This window comes from Homo sapiens, chromosome 16 (genome assembly GCF_000001405.40).
Source record: "Homo sapiens chromosome 16, GRCh38.p14 Primary Assembly".
Taxonomy (NCBI): Eukaryota; Metazoa; Chordata; class Mammalia; order Primates; family Hominidae; genus Homo; species Homo sapiens.
Genome location: NC_000016.10, coordinates 47,162,769 through 47,182,444, shown reverse-complemented (window position 1 = coordinate 47,182,444; position 19,676 = coordinate 47,162,769). Strand labels below are relative to the sequence as shown.

General features: G+C 39.4%; 1 protein-coding gene across 2 annotated transcripts in view, besides 4 other annotated features; it reads left to right on the top strand.

The window, feature by feature from the left end:
• The window catches only part of ITFG1 (integrin alpha FG-GAP repeat containing 1), a 306,856-nt gene that overhangs the window by 278,802 nt on the left and 8,378 nt on the right, over positions 1 to 19,676 (top strand). The window lies entirely within an intron of this gene.
• Positions 748 to 1,299: an enhancer, noted in NCBI's record as "H3K27ac hESC enhancer chr16:47215057-47215608 (GRCh37/hg19 assembly coordinates)". NCBI's record gives its function as "activates a minimal SCP1, AML or CMV promoter by ChIP-STARR-seq in primed H9 embryonic stem cells {active_cell/tissue: H9 hESC(primed)}" and the evidence as "EXISTENCE:reporter gene assay evidence [ECO:0000049][PMID:30033119]".
• Positions 1,300 to 1,851: an enhancer, noted in NCBI's record as "H3K27ac-H3K4me1 hESC enhancer chr16:47214505-47215056 (GRCh37/hg19 assembly coordinates)". NCBI's record gives its function as "activates a minimal SCP1, AML or CMV promoter by ChIP-STARR-seq in primed H9 embryonic stem cells {active_cell/tissue: H9 hESC(primed)}" and the evidence as "EXISTENCE:reporter gene assay evidence [ECO:0000049][PMID:30033119]".
• Positions 1,852 to 2,403: an enhancer, noted in NCBI's record as "H3K4me1 hESC enhancer chr16:47213953-47214504 (GRCh37/hg19 assembly coordinates)". NCBI's record gives its function as "activates a minimal SCP1, AML or CMV promoter by ChIP-STARR-seq in naive H9 embryonic stem cells {active_cell/tissue: H9 hESC(naive)}" and the evidence as "EXISTENCE:reporter gene assay evidence [ECO:0000049][PMID:30033119]".
• Positions 14,600 to 15,529: an enhancer, noted in NCBI's record as "OCT4-NANOG hESC enhancer chr16:47200827-47201756 (GRCh37/hg19 assembly coordinates)". NCBI's record gives its function as "activates a minimal SCP1, AML or CMV promoter by ChIP-STARR-seq in naive and primed H9 embryonic stem cells {active_cell/tissue: H9 hESC(naive and primed)}" and the evidence as "EXISTENCE:reporter gene assay evidence [ECO:0000049][PMID:30033119]".

Here is a 19,676-nt window from a genome sequence, read left to right as displayed (position 1 = left end):
TTTTGGCATTCAAATCCCATGTGTTTCCCATAATACCATATTTTCTTTTTTTTTTTTTGAGAGCCACCTAAGTAATAACAGTTGTCTCTTTAATTTTTGATTCCCATCGTCTACTAGACATCTCATATTTTATCCAAAATGGCAAATCTCTAATGTATGCTCCCATTGCTGCCAGAATGAGCATCCCTTAATACATATTTGCCCATTTTATTCCCCTACTTAAAATTCTTCTGAATTTCCCTGTTTTTTTGTTTTTTTTTTTTTTAATTGATCATTCTTGGATGTTTCTCGCAGAGGGGGATTTGACAGGGTCATAGGACAATAGTGGAGGGAAGGTCAGCAGATAAACAAGTGAACAAAGGTATCTGGTTTTCCTAGGCAGAGGACCCTGTGGCCTTCCGCAGTGTTTGTGTCCCTGGGTACTTGAGATTAGGGAGTGGTGATGACTCTTAAGGAGCCTGCTGCCTTCAAGCATCTGTTTAACAAAGCACATCTTGCACCGCCCTTAATCCATTTAACCTGAGTGGACACAGCACATGTTTCAGAGAGCACAGGGTTGGGGGTAAGGTCATAGATCAACAGGATCCCAAGGCAGAATAATTTTTCTTAGTACAGAACAAAATGAAAAGTCTCCCATGTCTACCTCTTTCTACACAGACACAGCAAACATCCGATTTCTCAATCTTTTCCCCACCTTTCCCCCTTTACTATTCCACAAAACCGCCATTGTCATCATGGCCCATTCTCAATGAGCTGTTGGGTACACCTCCCAGATGGGGTGGTGGCCGGGCAGAGGGGCTCCTCACTTCCCAGTAGGGGCGGCCGGGCAGAGGCGCCCCTCACCTCCCTCCTGGACGGGGCGGCTGGCCGGGCGGGGGGGCTGACCCCCCCCCACCTCCCTGCCAGACGGGGAGGCTGGCCGGGTGGGGGGGCTGACCCCCCCACCTCCCTCCCGGACGGGGCGGCTGGCCGGGCGGGGGGGCTGACCCCCCCCACCTCCCTCCCGGACGGGGCGGCTGGCCGGGCGGGGGGGCTGACCCCCCCATCTCCCTGCCGGACGGGGTGGCTGGCCGGGCGGGGGGCTGACCCCCCCACCTCCCTCCCGGACGGGGCGGCTGCCAGGCGGAGACGCTCCTCACTTCCCAGACAGAGACGCTCCTCACTTCCCAGACGGGGTGGCTGCCGGGCGGAGGGGCTCCTCACTTCTCAGACGGGGCGGCTGCCGGGCAGAGGGTCTCCTCACTTCTCAGATGGGGCGGCCGGGCAGAGGCGCTCCTCACATCCCAGATGGGGCGGTGGGGCAGCGGCGCTCCCCACATCTCAGACGATGGGCGGCCGGGCAGAGACGCTCCTCACTTCCTAGATGGGATGGCAGCCTGGAAGAGGCGCTCGTGACTTCCTAGATGGTATGGCGGCCGGGCAGAGACGCTCCTCACTTTCCAGACTGGGCAGCCAGGCAGAGGGGCTTCTCACATCCCAGATGATGGGCGGCCGGGCAGAGACGCTCCTCACTTCCTAGACAGGATGGCAGCCGGGCAGAGACGCTCCTCACTTTCCAGACTGGGCAGCCAGGCAGAGGGGCTCCTCACATCCCAGACGATGGGCGGCCAGGCAGAGACGCTCCTCACTTCCCAGACGGGGTGGCGGCCGGGCAGAGGCTGCAATCTCGGCACTTTGGGACGCCAAGGCAGGCGGCTGGGAGGTGGAGGTTGTAGCGAGCTGAGATCATGCCACTGCACCCCAGCCTGGGCACCATTGAGCACTGAGTGAACGAGACTCCGTCTGCAATCCCGGCACCTCGGGAGGCCGAGGCTGGCGGATCACTCACGGTTAGGAGCTGGAGACCAGCCTGGCCAACACAGCGAAACCCCATCTCCACCAAAAAAATACGAAAAACAGTCAGGCGTGGCGGCGCGTGCCTGCAATTGCAGGCACTCAGCAGGCTGAGGCAGGAGAATCAGGCAGGGAGATTGCAGTGAGCCGAGATGGCAGCAGTACAGTCCAGCTTTGGCTCGGCATCAGAGGGAGACCGTGGAAAGAGAGGGAGAGGGAGACCGTGGGGAGAGGGGGAGGGGGAGGGAGAGGGAGAGGGCAATAATACCATATTTTCAAGTCTCCTGTGTTCCCTACACGTTTGTTCAAGCCCATTAGGTAAGCTGATATCATGTTGTTATTCAAAGCCCAAATAGATGTCTTCCACGTAATCACTGACATGGCATATCATAAGACTTCAAGGAAAACTAAAACAACTGCACAAATTTATTTACTCCCAAACCTTCAGTTTATTATAGCAGACATCTACTAAGTGCCTACTGTGTGCCAGCCACTATGCTGTATTCCCCGGGAATAGAGCGTGAAAATGAATAATTACCTAGACTGGAAGTATCTAAGCACCTCTTTTAATGAAACTTCTTTCTGTCTACCACATATTTCATCACTTCATCCTATCAGCTATCTATAAACTGAGTTCAGATATAATTCAAAATATGCCAAAGGAGTAACAGTCAGTCAGTGGATTCCTTTATTCACAATCATAACTCAACTTTCAGGAAAAGAGGACAACCGTCGTTTTAAGAAGTTTTCTATAAACAGTGATGATCCTAACTTCCAAAAATCTAAGAACTCAGCATTTGAGCATGGAGCCTCACAAATTCCCCATATACTATTCACTTAGGGTAATTTAAGATCTTTCTTTCTGGAGCCACATTCTAGAGATCCTAGTACCACCACATACTTTTAAAAGGTATTAACCACTTCTCTCATGGATTATGGCTTTCCGTGAAGACAGCTTATTTCTTTTTTTTTAAATAAAAACAACTTTATGAAGGTATATTTTACATATCAAAAAATTATTCATCTTAAGTGTACAATTCAATGATTTTTAGTGACTTTACTCAGTACAACCATTACTGTAAATCAGCTCTAGAACATTTCAATCCCCTCACAATAAAATCCCTCTTGATCAATTTTTTTATATACTTTAAGTTCTAGGGTACATGTGCACAACATGCAGGTTTGTTACATATGTATACATGTGCCATGTTGGTGTGCTGCATAGTATTCCATGGTGTATATGTGCCACATTTTCTTAATCCAATCTATCATTGATGGACATTTGGGTTGGTTCCAAGTCTTTGCTATTGTGAATAATGCCGCAATAAACATATGTGCGCATGTGTCTTTATAGCAGCATGATTTATAATTCTTTGGGTATATACCCAGTAATGGGATGGCTGGGTCAAATGGTATTTCTAGTTCTAGATCCTTGAGGAATTGCCACACTGTCTTCCACAATGGTTGAACTAGTTTACAGTCCCACCAACAGTGTAAAAGTGTTCCTATTTCTCCACATCCTCTCCAGCACCTGTTGTTTCCTGACTTTTTAATGATCGCCATTCTAACTGGTGTGAGATGGTATCTCATTGTGGTTTTGATTTGCATTTCTCTGATGGCCAGTGATGATGAGCATTTTTTCATGTGTCTGTTGGCTGTATAAATGTCTTCTTTTGAGAAGTGTCTGTTCATATCCTTTGCCCACTTTTTGATGGGGTTGTTTGATTTTTTCTTGTAAATTTGTTTAAGTTCATTGTAGATTCTGGATATTAGCCCTTTGTCAGATGGGTAGATTGTAAAAATTTTCTCCCATTCTGTAGGTTGCCTGTTCACTCTGATGGTAGTTTCTTTTGCTGTGAAGAAGCTCTTTAGTTTAATTAGATCCCATTTGTCAATTTTGGCTTTTGTTGCCATTGCTTTTGGTGTTTTAGACATGAAGTCCTTGCCCATAGCTATGTCCTGAATGGTATTGCCTAGGTTTTCTTCTAGGGTTTTTATGGTTTTAGGTCTAACATTTAAGTCTTTAATCCATCTTGAATTAATTTTTGTATAAGGTGTAAGGAAGGGATGCAGTTTCAGCTTTCTACATATGTCTAGCCAGTTTTCCCAGCACCATTTATTAAATAGGGAATCCTTTCCCCATTTCTTGTTTTTGTCAGGTTTGTCAAAGATCAGATAGTTGTAGATGTGTGGTATTATTTCTTGTCTTTATGCTGAGCACTAAGTAGGACTGTTTAAAAACCAGGAGCATTTATACAGTGACACTAAAATAACACAGGTCTTGGATTTATAATTTTGTCACAAAATCCACTCACATTGGAAACTAGATTTTCCCAAAGTCCAAGTAAAATGGTGTGCCTTAGTTGAACAGGCCAGGAGAAGATTTTACCATCAGGCAGAGCCCAGCTGCTATGTTCTTTTTTCTATGTGGGTAACCATCCATTTAATTAAAGTCAGTGAATTTTAAAACAGAAAAATAAGAGGATAAGCTGTATGATTTAACAAGTGTCTTAAATGTCAGGTGACTATAGCCTAAAACATCTCCAAATTTTAAAATTAAATGTTAATATCTTTATTCTCAGTCATAATATCTTTTGGCGTCTTTTTACATTCAAAATCTATTTTGTCCTTTTTTGTTTTCACTTCTGAATTCTGGGTGTCAAATTATGATATTGTACAATTAAGTTTATCCTGTTAACAATAAATAGTCCCTTAGCAATTACTGTACTCTATATATAGGAATTAGCTAGCTAAATACTTCAGCAATTAATTTAAATGTTAAAAATCATCACTGCAGTAATACATTTCATCACTTGCTTTCTTTGGCCAATATTCTAGCCTAGTTGATAATTTTTATTTAAAAGGTGGTCCCTGGGATTTTACTGGAAATTAGTATAACAACCATGATCTTCTGTTATCCAGAATATTCAGGGCATTGGGTTCTCAGATCAAAACAAATATTTAAATAAGAAGTCATTAAAATCACTTTATATTTTTTAATTGATATCTTATAGAATTACAATATGTATATGCGGCATTTAACATACATATTCTTTTCTAAAAGTTTACATGTCAGTTGTTTGATACATGGAACACCTTTTTTGTACATATTTAAACATATCAAGGAAATAGTCACATTATCAGAGTAGACCATAAACTCCAATTTAATTGCTAGCCTTTTTTCTGGCTAGACCATCTGATTTGATATACTTTATATCAAATACTATACACTTTATAATGAGTCTCATCACATTAAATAACACAAATTATTACCCCAAGTTGGCATTTAGAAACAAGGGAGTATGATAATTGTATAGCCGGGAAGATTTTAATAGATATATCAGCCTGGTGATGTGGCTCACACCTGTAATCCCAGCTACTCAGGAGGCTGAGGTGGGAGGATCACTTGTAGCTCAGAGCTCGAAACCAGCTTGGGCAAGACAGTGAGACCCCTTCCCTTAAAAATTTTAAAAAATAAAAATAAATTAGCCAGATATGATGTCATGTGCCTATACTCCCAGCTACTCTGGAGGATGAGGCCAGAGGATCACTTGAGCCTAGGAGTTCAAGGCTGCAGTAAGCTATGGTGTGATCATAGGCACTCCAGCCTGGGTCACAGAGCAAGGCCCCATCTCTGTTTAAAAAAAAAAAAAAAAAAGAAGAAGAAGATGTATGAGAAACCCTCTTAGCAATGCAATTAGACTAGCAGCAAAGGAAAGCAAGTGATAGTGTATTTTTTAATTGTTAATTTTATCACTTATCAAAAAAGGCTTGAACCATTGACTTTAATAGAATACTGATTACTCTGATAATTTTGGGATGAGAAAACAAACATATCAATACTTGGAACACAGTCTCTTTCTCCATCCCATCCTGCTACCAGAAAGAAGAATAACCTATCAGTCACCTAATGGGCAAAGAACACATTGATTAGGAAATAGCTGTCACTTATAGTTGAAAGACTCAAGGCAGATGTGACAATATAACAAATGTATGATTCTCTTAGGCAGCTAGAAAATTAGAAACAGGCCATTAAAATGTACATGCTAGTTAGTAAGAGGAAATGCCACTGGCCAAATCATTTGTAGGTTAGAGTCCCTATGTAATGACATATGTTTAATATTAAAGCTATCTGTGAATATATTTTTCTTTCAGAGTCTTCGCTTCACTCTTCTTAACTTCTGCCATTCCTGTTATTATCCAGCTTGCCGTTCTCCAAATTACATATCTTCCTCACAAAAAAAAAATTGTCTTTTATCTGATTCTCTTACTCATATTTTCTTATTTAAAAATGTAATTTAACAGTCACACCAGGTGGAACAAAAACATGGTGTTTCTCTTAGAATTCCCCTGTGAGTAATGAGAACAGTCCTGAAATTTTCACTCTGCCAAGTGTAACCCTTTGAACTATCTGGAATGAGCCAGAGAACTTCAGCTTAGTAGTGTAGGTCACAGGCTAGTCCATAGCCACAGTGTCTTTTTCATATTCTTACCCTGCAGGGATATAACTGGATTAAACTCTTCCTGAGCAAATTGGCGTCCCTCATTAAAGATCAACAAGAGTAACCAGGCTCATTCCCCAGAGAACTGCATCAACAGCCCAACTTTAGGTCTACAATAGGAACCTCCCAAAGCTCAAGGTGTGCTCAGTGAGCTTAGACACACCAATGAAGCACACCCTGGACTTGTAAACATTAGCCGGGCACAGTGGTACACACCTGTACTCCCAGCTACTCAGGAGGCTGAGGCAGAAGAATCCCTTGAGTTCTAGGCTGTGGTGATCTACAGTCACATCTGTGACTAACCACTGCACTCCTACCTGAGCCACATAGCAAGACTGCATCACAAAAAATTGCCACAAAAGTCAAAACATGCCATGGTAGCTGGAACCTTTGACTGGGTATACAATGTTCCCGATTCCCAGAACATGTATCATAAGACCCCACAAATAGGATAGAGAGGCAAGGAGTAATAGGAGCAACTGGCATTGGAGAGGTTGCTCCTTGTCATTAGAAGTCCTTTTCATAGAGCAGTAAGACAAATACTGCACTTCTTTTTCTTCTGAAGACAAAATCTTGGATGATGATAAAGGCTAAAGGGCATGGGATTTGGAATTAGGCTGCTGAAATTAAATCCCAGCCCTATGTAATGAAATAATATTAAAGCTATCTGTGAATATATTTTTCTTTCAGAGTCTTAGCTTCACTTTTCTTGTTTATTTAATTAAAATTAAAATAATTTAAATTTAAATTATTAAATAATTTATGTATTAATATAATTAATTTAATTAAAATTAAAGTTTTAAATTTTCTTAAATTTCCTCATGATAAAGATAATAATATTATCTACCCTCATACAATTATTGTTAAGAATAGTTGAAATAGTACACAAGAAGTACTTGCCACAGATTCTGGCACATTATAATCATTCAAAACCTGTCAAATCTTTTATTATTTCTTACAGAAAATATTCTAATTTTTATCCTTTATTCTCTTTTGGTGTTCTTTGTCTCCATTTTAATTAATGTCAGTATAGTATTGCTTCAGATACCATGATTATCAGATAAGATGACAGACTGTTTCAGATATTGTTACTGTCAGTTTGAGATTAACAACTTCTTGGAACAATTTTCTCTTCGAGTTACACAAAATATTGATTATCTGAATGTGTCCTTTTATCTTATATCTTCTTTTCATCGAGATATCATTTTTCCTTGACTCAGGGCAGTGCCAGTAGAGTTGTAGGTATTACCGTTAGATGAAAATTCCTTGTGGTTTAAAACCTTTCAGAGAGGCCGGGCGCGGTGGCTCATGCCTGTAATCCCAGCACTTTGGGAGGCAGAGGCGGGTGGATCACCTGAGGTCAGGAATTCGAGACCAGCCTGGCCAACATGGTGAAACCCTGTCTCTACTAAAAATACAAAATTAGCCGGACATGGTGGTGTACGCCTCTAATTCCTGCTACTCAGGAGGCTGAGGCAGGAGAATTGCTTGAACGTGGGAGGCGGAGGCTGCACTGAGCCGAGATCGTACCACTGCACTCCAGCCTGGGCAAGACAGAGCAAGACTCTATCTAAAAAAAACATAAAAACCTTTCAGAGAAATAGAATTCAGTGTTATGTTGACTCAGAGAAAAACACATACACGCGCACACACACTCATGTTCACATACCAAGAAAGGTAAGTTTTCAGTGACTTTTTTCTTCAGCTAGTGGGTCTTCCTCTTCCTACCTGTTATATCAGCGTGTATGTATTATTTAAGTTCTATTTTTGACAAATAGATGTCAGAGCTAGAGTATTCTAGCGCTAGAATCTAATACTTCATATCTAGTATTTGTAGACAGCAAAGTTGGCTTCAATATCTTGCCTAAAAATAGAATGCATGGGAATTATTACAATGTAATATATCTCCTATACTGCATTGTTAATTAATTCAGGATCCTAAATTACAACATAACCTGAATGACATTAATCAAAGTTGCATGTCAGTGTAGTATTCTCATGGAGAATAAGAACAAAGCAACCTTGAAAACTTTTTTTGTTTGTTTTTGTTTTTTGTTTTGTTTTGTTTTTTGAGACAGTTTTGCTCTTGTTGTCCAGGCTGGAATGCAGTGGCACAATCTCAGCTCACTACAACCTCCACCTCCCTGGTTCAAGTGATTCTCCTGCCTCAGCCTCCCAAGTAGCTGGGACTACAGGCACGTGCCACCATGCCCAGCTAATTTTGTATTTTTAGTAGAGGTGGCGTTCCACCATGTTGGTCAGGCTGGTCTCGAACTCCTGACCTCAAGTGATCCACCCACCTCAGCCTCCCAAAGTGCTGGGATTATAGGCGTGAGCCACTGCGCCCAGCGAAAACTTATTTTTTAAAAATTACATAAATAACATGTACTTGAAGTATATTGGAAAATCAGACTATAATGCAAGCCTGGACAAAAGCACACAGGCATTTGAATCTGGTGGTTGGAGTGTCTGATATCACAAATGCCTTTAATGTATTTATTATAAAATATTAAAAACTTATCACAGATACTTTTGGTAGACAATCGTGATGTGCTAACATTTATGTGGTATAAATTGATATAGTATTTTTTGTTGTCTAATACCATATTTCAACTGAAATATGTTACAAGTGTTAGGTCTGACACATTTGGAGGATTAAATTTTCTTTCAATTATTTATTAATTTAACAAAAATATATTGAGTGGCTAATATATGCTAGGCCTGTTCTAGGGTCTTAGAATACAGAAGTGAATAAAACAGACTCAAATCTCAGCCCTCATAGAGATTGCATTCTAGTGGGGGAAGACAGACAATAGGCATACTAAGTAAGTTATTTAATACTATCTAGTGTTAGGCAGTGTTAACGTACTGTGGGTGGGAGGAAGAGGGAATAAAGCAGAGTAAAAGGGATTGGGATTGCTGGGCAAGAGGGTCTTTGATTGTATGTAGGATTATCAGAGCAAGCCTCTCTGAGAACATATCATTTGAACAAGGATTTGAAGGAGGTAAGGGAGTTAGACATGTAGTTATCTTTGGAAGGCTATTCCAGGCAAAGAAGAAAGCCAGTGCAAAGGCCCTAATATATAAGCACTCCTAGATTTTCCAAGGAACAGTGAAGAGGCCAGTAAGTTGCAGCAGAATGAAAGAGGGAGGTTACAGAGTAGAAAATGAAGACACAGTTAAATGGGAAGTGGAGAGTGTACACTAAGTAGGACATAGGACAAGACTGTAATCTGAGTGAAACTGCAGACTAGAAGGAACAACAGTTAAAGCAATGAGACCAACTAGAAGCTATTAAAATACTTCAGTTTAGGAACATACCTATTTGGGGTAAATAATAAGAATAATTCAGGCAAAAGTTGGTGGTGGCTTGGACCAAGGTGGTAGCAGTGGAAATAGAAATTAGTGTCTAGAGTTTGTATATATTTTAAATTGTGGATATTTATTCAATTTCTTGGCAGATTGAATATAGGGTATAAGAAAAAGAGAGGCCTGTAACTATAACTATAGGGTTACTGGCATGACTAAGTGGAAAGTTGGAATGGCCATAACTGAGATGGAGAGCAGGTAGGGGGAATAAAATCAGGGATTATGGGGGGTTTTTTGGTTGTTGTTTTGTTTTGAAATGGTGTCTCACTCTGTTGGCCAGGCTAGAGTGCAGTGGCACGATCATGGCTCACTGCAACCTGCGCCTCCCAGGTTCAAGCGATTTTCCTGCCACAGCCTCCCGAGTAGTTGGGACTACAGGCATGCGCCACCACGCCTGGCTAATTTTTTTGTACCTTTTAGTAGAGACAGGGTTTTGCCGTGTTGGCCTGGCTGGTCTCAAACTCCTGACCTCAGGTGATCCACCCGCCTCAGCCTCCCAAAATGCTGGGATTACAGGTGTGAGCCACCACACCCAGGCCTGGGGATTATGTTTTGAATATATTAACTTGGTAATATGTGTTAGACATGAAAATATTGATGTTTAGCATTTAGTTTGATATGAGAGCCTAGAGTTCAGAGACTGGCAGTCTATGCTGGAATTATACATTTGGGAGTGTTGGGGACTAACCTAAGTCAAGTTAATTATATATAAGTCTTAGGTTCTTTTGGCAATAACTGTAGCCATTAAAGAATGTAACAGTTACCAAACATTGGTAACTACTTTCCTTACTGCCAGTAAACATAAAAGAAAATCTCTAACCAAATTCTGTGCAAATAAAGACATTAATGAAATAAACATTCATTAGCAAGCAGATACAAAACTATTCATATATTTTATATACTCTCTGAGTATTTAGGTAATCCAGCCACTACTTTGCATGAATGGTTAACTTAAGGAAGATAAGACATATATCACAAAACTAAACAATATCTTGAGATAACTAAAAACAAAACACAAACAAAACCAAACATATTGGATGAAGCAAAAGCAGTACTCAGAGGGACTTTATGGCTGTAAATGCAATGTTAAAAAAAAACAACGATCTCAAATCAGCAACCTAATTTTATACCATAAGGAACTTGAAAAGAAGACCAGACTAAACTCAAAGCCAGCAGGAGGATGGAAATAATAAAGATTTCAGCAGAGATAAATGAAATAGAGAAAAATAATCATCATAGAAATCAAAAGTTGGTTCTTTGAAAAGATCAACAAAATTGACAATCTATTAGCTAGACTGAGTGTTTAAAAAAAAAGGGAAAAGGCAAATAACTAAAATCAGAAATGAACAATGGGACTTTGCTGCTGACCTTATAGAAGTTAAAAGGATTGATAATACTATAAACAACTGCATATCAACAAATTAGACAATCTAGGCCAGGCACAGTGGCTCACACCTGTAATCCCAACACTTTGAGAGGCCAAAGCATGAAGAATGCTTGAGGCCAGGAGTTTGAGATCAGCCTAGGCAACACAGTGAGTCCTTGTCTCTACAAAAAAATTAGCCATGTGTGGTGGCATGCACCCGTAGTCCTAGCTACTCAGGAGGCTTAAGCCCAGGAGTTCAAGGCTGCAGTGAGCCATGATTGTGCCACTGCACTCCAGCCTGTGTGGTAGAGCAAGACCCTGTCTCAAAAAAAAAAAAAAAAAAAAGGCACAGTGGCTCATGCTTGTAATCCCAGCACTTTGGGAGGCTGAGGTAGGCAGATCACCTGAGGTCAGGAGTTTGAGACTAGCCTGGCCAACATGACGAAGCACCACCTCTACTAAAAATACAAAAATTAGCTGGGTGTGGTGGTGTATGCCTATAATCCCAGCTACTTGGGAGGCTGAGGAGGAGAACCACTTGAACCCAGGAGGCAGAGGTTGCAGTGAGCTGACATCATACCACTGCATTCCAGCCTGGGTGACAGAGTGAGTCTCCATCTCAAAAAAAAAAAAAAAAAGATAATCTAGATGAATCAAAGATGTGCCTGTAATCCCAGCACTTTGGGAGGCTGAGGCAGGCGCAGATCACCTAAGGTCAGGAGTTTGAGATCGGCCTGGCCAACATGGTGAAACCCTGTCTCTACTAAAAATACAAAAATTAGCTGGGTGTGGTGATGCATGCCTGTAATCCCAGCTACTTGGGAGACTGAGACAGGAGAATCACTTGAACACAGGAGGTAAAGGTTGCAGTGAGCCAAGATCACACCATTGCACTCCAGCCTGGACAACAGAGCAAGACTCTTGTCTCAAAAAAAAAAAAAAGTGTTCCCTAGAAACACACACAATACAAAACTGACCCAAGAGGAAATAGACAATGTCAACCTACCTGTAACAAGTAAAGAGATTGAATCAGTAATTGAAAACCTCCTGAAAAAGAAAACTCAGGGACCAGATGGCTGCACTGATGAAATTCTACCAACAATTTCATGAAAGGAGAATTTCATCACTTTTACTGAAACTCTTACAAAAACTAGAAAAGCAAATACTCCCTAACACATTCTGTGAGACCAGCATTACTCTCATACCAAACCCAGACAAAGATACTACAAGAAAGCTACAGACCAGTATCCCATATGAATATTGATACAAAAATCTTCAACAAAATACTACCAAGCAAATCCAGCAGCACATTAAAAGTATTTATACTTTATGACCAAATGGGACTTGTCCCAGGAATGCAAGGATTGTTCAACTTAAGACAGTCAATCAATGTAATACATGGCATTAATAGATCTAAGGGAAAAATAATATATGGTCATTTCAATAGATACTAAAAAAAATTTGACAAAACTCAACATCCTTTTATAATTAAAACACTCAGCAAACTAGGAATAGAAGGGAACTTCCTTAACATCACAAAGGGCATTTATAAGAAAAATCACAGCTAATATCATCCTGTATGATGAAAAGCTGAAAGCATTTCTTCTAAGATCAGGAAGAAGATGAGGATGCCCACTTTCACTCCTGCTATTCACCTTTTTACTGGAATTCCTACACTTAGCAATTCGGCCAGAAAAAGAAATAAAAATCTTCTAAATTAGGAACATGCAAAATGATTTCTATTTGCAGGTGACATGATTCTGTATACAGAAAATATCATATAACTCACAGAAAAAAATACTGCAGCTAATTAACAAATTCAGCAAAGTTATAGGGAACAAGATCAACACCCAAAAATCAGTTGTTTCCATATACCAGCAAAGAAATTTTTAAAAAAGAAAAAAAAAATAGTTCAGTTTGCAACATTTAGAAGAGTAAAACACCTAGGAATATATTTAACCAAAAAATTGAAAGATTTATCCACTGAAAACTAAAAAACATTGCTGAGAGAAATTAAAGAAAATCTAATAAATGGAAAGACATCCCATATTCATGGATTGGAAAACTTTAAGATAGCAATATTCCCCAAAACAATCTACAGATTCAAGTGGTCTGTTTGCAGAAATAAAAAGCCAACCTTCAAATTGATACGGAACTGTAAGGGGCCTCAAAAAGCCAAAACAATATTGAAAAACAAAAGCAAAGCTGAGAGGACTTACACTTTCCAAATTCAAAAGTTACTACAAAGCTACAGTAATCAACAAGCATAGTGCTGGCAAAAAGACAGACATATAAACCAATGGAATAGAATTGAGAGCCCATAAATAAATCCAAATATCTATGGCAAATTAATTTTTGACAGGAGTACCACAACCATTCAATGGAGAAAGAAGAGTACCTTCAACAAATCATACTAGAACATTTGTATAATGACATGTAAAAAAAAATGAAGTGGGACTCCATATAAAATAATTAACTCATATATAATAATTAACTCATGGATCAAGGACCTCAATGTAAGGGGTAAGATTGCAAAATTCTTAGAAGCAAACATAGAAGTAGATCTGCATTTCCTCAGATTTGACAATGGATTGTTAGATTTGACACCAAAAGCACTAGTAACAAAATTTAAAAATAGATTAGATTCTGCAAAAATGTAAAGCTTTTTTGCATTAAAAAACATTTTCAGCCAGGTGCAGTGGCTCATGCCTGTAATCCCAGAACTTTGGGAGGCCACAGCATAAGGCTTGCTTGAGCCCAGGAATTTGAGACCAGCATGGGCAATATAGTGAGACCTTGTCTCTAGAAAAAAAAAAAAAAAAAAAAAAACTTTTAATTAGCCAGAGGCAGTGGCACAGGCCTGTGCTCCCAAGCTACTTGGGAAGCTGAGCTGGGATCACTGGAGCCCAGGAGATCGAGGCTGCAATGAGCCATGATTGTGCCGCTGCACTCCAGCCTGGGTGACAGAGCAAGAGCCTGTCTCAAAAGAAAAGTCTTTTTTCTTTTCAACAAACTGAAAAGGGAGAAAATATTTGCAAATCTTATCTCTGATAAAGTTCTAGTATCCAGACTATAAAAAGAATGTTTACAATTCAACAACAAAAAAAAGCCCAATTATAAAATTGACAAAGGACTAGACATTTCTCCAAAGAATTCCAAAGTAGCCAATAAGCACAGAAAAAGATGTCCTACATAATTGGTCATGAAGGAAATGCAAGTCAAAACCAGACTGAGTTACCACTTCAGAACCACTAAGATGGTTTTAATTTAAAAGACTGAAAATGACATGTCAGCAAGGCTGTGAAAAATAGGAACCCTCATACATTGCTGGTGGGAATGTAAAATGGTGCAGCTGCTGTGAAAAACAATATGGCAGTTCCTCAAAAAATTAAACCTAGAATCACCATATGATCCAGAATTTCTAATATATACTCAAAAGAACGGAAAGCAGGGTCTCAAAGAGGTATTTGTACATCCATATTCATAGCAGCAATAATAGCCAAATAGTTCATAATAGCCAAAAGGTACTAAACAACCCAAATGGCCATCAACAGCTGGATGGATAAACAAATCAAAGTGTATACATAAAATGGAATATTATTTTTCCATAAAAAGAGATGAAGTACTTTTCATGCGCGTCCGTGTAAAGAGACCACCAAACACGCTTTGTGTGAGCAATAAAGCTTTTAATCACCTGGGTGCAGGCAGGCTGAGTCTGAAAAGAGAGTCAGCAAAGGGAGATAAGGGTGGGGCCGTTTTATAAGCTTTGGGTAGGTAAAGGAAAATTACAGTCAAGGGGGTTTGTTCTCTGGCGGGCAGGAGTGGGGGTCGCAAGGTGCTCAGTGGGGGAGGTTTTTGAGCCAGGAAAAGGACTTTCACAAGGTAATGTCATCACTTAAGGCAAGGACCGGCCATTTTTACTTCTTTTGTGGTGGAATATCACCAGTTAAGGCAAGGACCGGCCATTTACACTTCTTTTGTGGTGGAATGTCATCAGTTAAGGCAGGGCAGGGCATATTCACTACTTTTGTGATTCTTCCGTTACTTCAGGCCATCTGGGCGTATATGTGCAAGTTACAGGGGATGCAGTGGCTTGGCTTGGGCTCAGAGGCCTGACAGTACTGATACTTACTATAACTTATATGACCCTTGAAAACATTATGCTAAGTGAAAGAAGCCAGACACAGTTGGTCACATGTATGGTACCTTCTATATGAGGTATCTAGAGTAGACAAATCCATAGAGAATGAAAGCAGATTAGAGGTTACTGGGGGAGTACAGGGTGTTGTTATAGGGTGATGAAAAAGTTTGCAAACAAGAGAGAATTGATAGTTGCACAACATTGCAAATACACTAAAGGCCATTTGATTCTACACTCTAAAGTAGTTAATTGTATGCTATGTGAATTTCAGCTCAATTAGAAAATAAGAATGGACTGAAATGGATGCTTTCATTGAAAGCTAATGGAAATGTAAAGTGATGCAACCCTCTCCTTAGGAAACAAGGTTTCTATATTCAAGAATAAGTTCTAAACTTACTACTCTTTGATCCAGTATTCTGTATCTAGGAATGAAAGAAACTAATTTGGGTGCAAACTAATTTGGGTGCAAACTAAAGCATTCTTTTTTTAATAGTGAAGGATTAGGAAAATTCCTTTACCTCCAACAATATGGAATTAATTTTTAAATAAGATATAGGCAGGAAAATTATATTTTTGTAATGTCTGTGTAGATACCACTTTAGAAAAATAATTTTAGAAGTATACATAATAATACATGTCTTTTACGCTGTTTCCTTTGGCTTTCTCTTAATGGGATTTTGGTGTTTCCATCATTTTTCTCTCTGCTTATTTATTTTTCAAGAATTTTCATGATGACTAAATACTCATAAATAATACTGAGTGAAAATAATACTAAACTATGCTAAAATGTGTTTATTTATGCATGCACTTGCCTTGGAGAAAAAAAGTATGTGACTAAAAGTATGCTAAAATGTAATAATGATTATCTCTTCATTTTAAGTTGTTGGATAATTTTACTTAGATTATTCTCCTTATACTTTTAAGCTTGCTTATTGCATAGGCAATTTTAATAGTATAAACAGGAAAACAGAAGCCTAGTTTGATGTCATGTAGACAAAATAAGTCTTTTAACATAAGGGGTTGTGGAGACCAAGGTTTTATCATGAAGATGAAGTCTCCAGGTAGCAGGCTTCAGTGACAGTAGATTATAAATGCTTCTTCTCAGACTTAAAGAGTCTGTTCTATCAGTCTTAAGGGCTTTGTATTGATGTTAATGCTGGTCAGCTGTGCCTGAATTCCAAAAGAAAGGAGCATATAATGAGGCATATCTGACCCTCACTTCCGGTCATGGCCTGAACTACTTTTTCAGGTTAACTTTTGAATGCCTGAGGGGAGGGTCCATCAGTTAGAGTTTTATTTTTGGTTTACTTCTGTTAAGTCAGTCTTTGCTAGTAGTGTCATGAAATCAGCTTGTGTTTAATTTTGGGTTTGTTTGTTTGTTTGTTTTTGAGACAGGGTCTTACTCTATCTCCCAGGCTGGAGTGCAGTGGTACAATCACAGCTCACTACAGCCTCAACCTCCCTGGGCTCAGGTGATTCTCCCAGGTCAACTCCCAGGTAACTGGGACTACAGGCACATGCCACCATGCCTGGCTAATTTTTGTATTTTTTGTAGAGGTGGGGCTTCACCACATTGCCCAGGCTGGTCTGAAAAGTCCTGAGCTCAAGCAATCCACCTGCCTTGGCCTCCCAGAGTGCTGGGATGACAGGCATAAATGGCCTGCTTTTAATTTTTAATTCAACTCTGTAAGAATAAATTTTATCTTAATAAAGATAGCTAACATTATTATTTACTATGTGAGATACTCTACTTTTAAACATTATCTTTCAATCAGCTCAATTCCACAAGGTGGACTAATTCTGCAGCCCATGCTGTTCACTATACTGTTTTCCAGTTTCATACACATTGTTAATGCCTATCCTTAAATTCATGTTCCTTTTCATTATACCTTACTGTTTCCAACTTAAGAACTATATAAATAATCAGGTAAATATACTTTCCAGTGATTGCATATTTTTGGATAACATTAGTGATGTTTAGCAGAGTCCCCTTGAATATTAAAATATTTATATATTAATTAACTTTGTCATTTAAATGTTAAGTTTAAGCATGTAGAAAAATACCTAGAAAATACATATATTGTATAAAAGTGAATTACAATAGGGAAAGATTGACTATTGGAATGGCAGTGTGAGGACCACATGAACTTGCTCTCCCAGAGCCCCCAAAAAGAACAACAACAAAAATACTGGCCAACCATATAATATCCACCATTTCAGAACTCTGGAAATTAACCAAAGCCACAGAATGGACTGAGTATTGTCTATTCTAAGGAAAACTACTGATCCTTGATAAGACACCGAATCTATGGCATTTTTATCTTGGAGCAATTCCCATCCTGCCCCCCTTCTCAACTGAGTAGTGCAGTAGCCATGGAAAGCCAGCGGCTTCACAGCCAATGGATATGACTGACCTCCTTGGAGCTGCATGAAAATCTCCATCCCTATTACTATCAACATTTTGTCTGAACTAGCAGCTCCCTGGAAAATCTTCATTCTCAGCATCTTGGCTATTTCATTTGACTAGGGCATTACCAAAAACAACAGTAATCTGCTGGCAACATCTCAGCTACCTAAGCATGTGATTAAAGGTGGAGGAAACAAGATCCTGATCAAAATATAAGAGGAATTCTTAGAAAACTGGAAAACATACGCAGCTTTGAAAAGCTACAACATATTTTTGGGGATCTAGAAGACTTTGCAAATTCCTAGAAAGGAAAACACCTCATTCAAATAATCAGCTCCCTTCTGCTTCACCATGAAGCCCTGCGTAAGCAGGAAATGAAAACTAAGGCTGTCATTTTCTGAACTTTGAAGGCATGCCTTCACACACAAATCACTTTGACAAAGGGTGGGAGATGTACAGGCAAGAGATTTAGGGAAATCTTACAACAAATCACTGGCTGACCACTAAATAATACTGACCCAGGTATGCCAAGTAGGAAGCCAGATGTAGAATAAAAACTTTAAAAATAAAAATTAAAAAGACCCTGGGGCAACTGCTGCAGGGAATACAGAATCCACAGAATTCACTACATGAAAAAAAAAAAAAAGTCACTAAACAAATAAACAGTAACAAAACAACAAACCCTTGGGTGGGGTTAAGCGATACCAGAGTTATCAATATTATCTTAAAAGTCCAGTTTTCAACAAAAATTATAAGACATACAAAGAAACAGGAAAGTAGGCTAATACACATCTCTTTAAAAAAATAAAAAGACAACAGAAAATGTGCCTACAGGGCCAGATGCTTTACTTAATTGGTGTGTGTGTGTGTGTATGTGTGTGTGTGTGTGTGTGTGTGTGTGTGTGTGTGTGTAGTTGAGCTTCTTTCACGTGTTTATTGACCATTTTCATGGCTAATAACTATTAGTCATTTGGGAAATGCAAGTAAAAACCATAATGAGATACCACTTCACAACCATGAGCATGGCTATAATACAAAAGACACAACAAAAAGTGTTATTGAGGATGTGGAAAAATTTGAACCATTATCCATTGCTGGTGGGAACATAAAATGGTGCAGGTACTTTGGAAACAGTTCGATAGTTCCTAATGATGTTAAACACTTAGCTACATAATCAAAAGAAAGGAAAACAAGAGTGAATACAAAAATAAACCTGTATATGAATGTTCACAGCAGTATTTTCATAGTAACCAAAAATGGAAATGACTGAAATGTCCATCAATTAATGAAATTAATTAATGAAACAAAATGTATATATAACAAAGTGGAGTATTATTTGGCAAGTAACAGTAATAAAGTATGGAAACATGCTACCATATAGATGAACCTTGAAAACATGCTAAGTGAAAGAAGCCAGTCACAAAAGACCACATTGTATGATTGCATTTATATGAAATCTTCAGAATAGGCAAATCTATTGAGTCAGAAAGCAGATTAGTGATTACATACAGCTGGAAGTGTGCAGGTTGGAAACAGACATGGCTTCTCATGTGTATGGAGTTTCTTTCTCAAGTGATAAAAATGTTCTAAGATTAGATTGTGGTGATGGCTGAACAATTCTTTGAATATACTCAAAACCACTTAACTGTACACTTTAAACGGGTGATGTGTATGGTATGTGAATTATATCTCAGTAACGCTGTTTTCTTTAAAAAGTGAATCATTGGCTGAGCACGGTGGGTCACGCCTGTAATCCCAGCATTTTGAGAGCCCGAGGCAGGGGGATCACTTGAGCCCAGGAGTTCAAGGCCGGGCAACATAGTAAGACCCCGTCTCCACAAATATTTAAAAATTAGCCGAGCCTGGTGGCACATGCCTGTGGTCTCAGCTACTTGGGAGGCTCGGAAGGAGGATAGCTTGAGCCTGAGAGGTCAAGGCTCAGTGCAGTGCTACTGCACTGCAGCCTAGGTGGCAGAGTGAGACCATGTCTCAAAAAAAGAAAAAAGTGAATCATTAATATTAATGACCTGTATCTTTCATTTCACATTTTGAAACGTG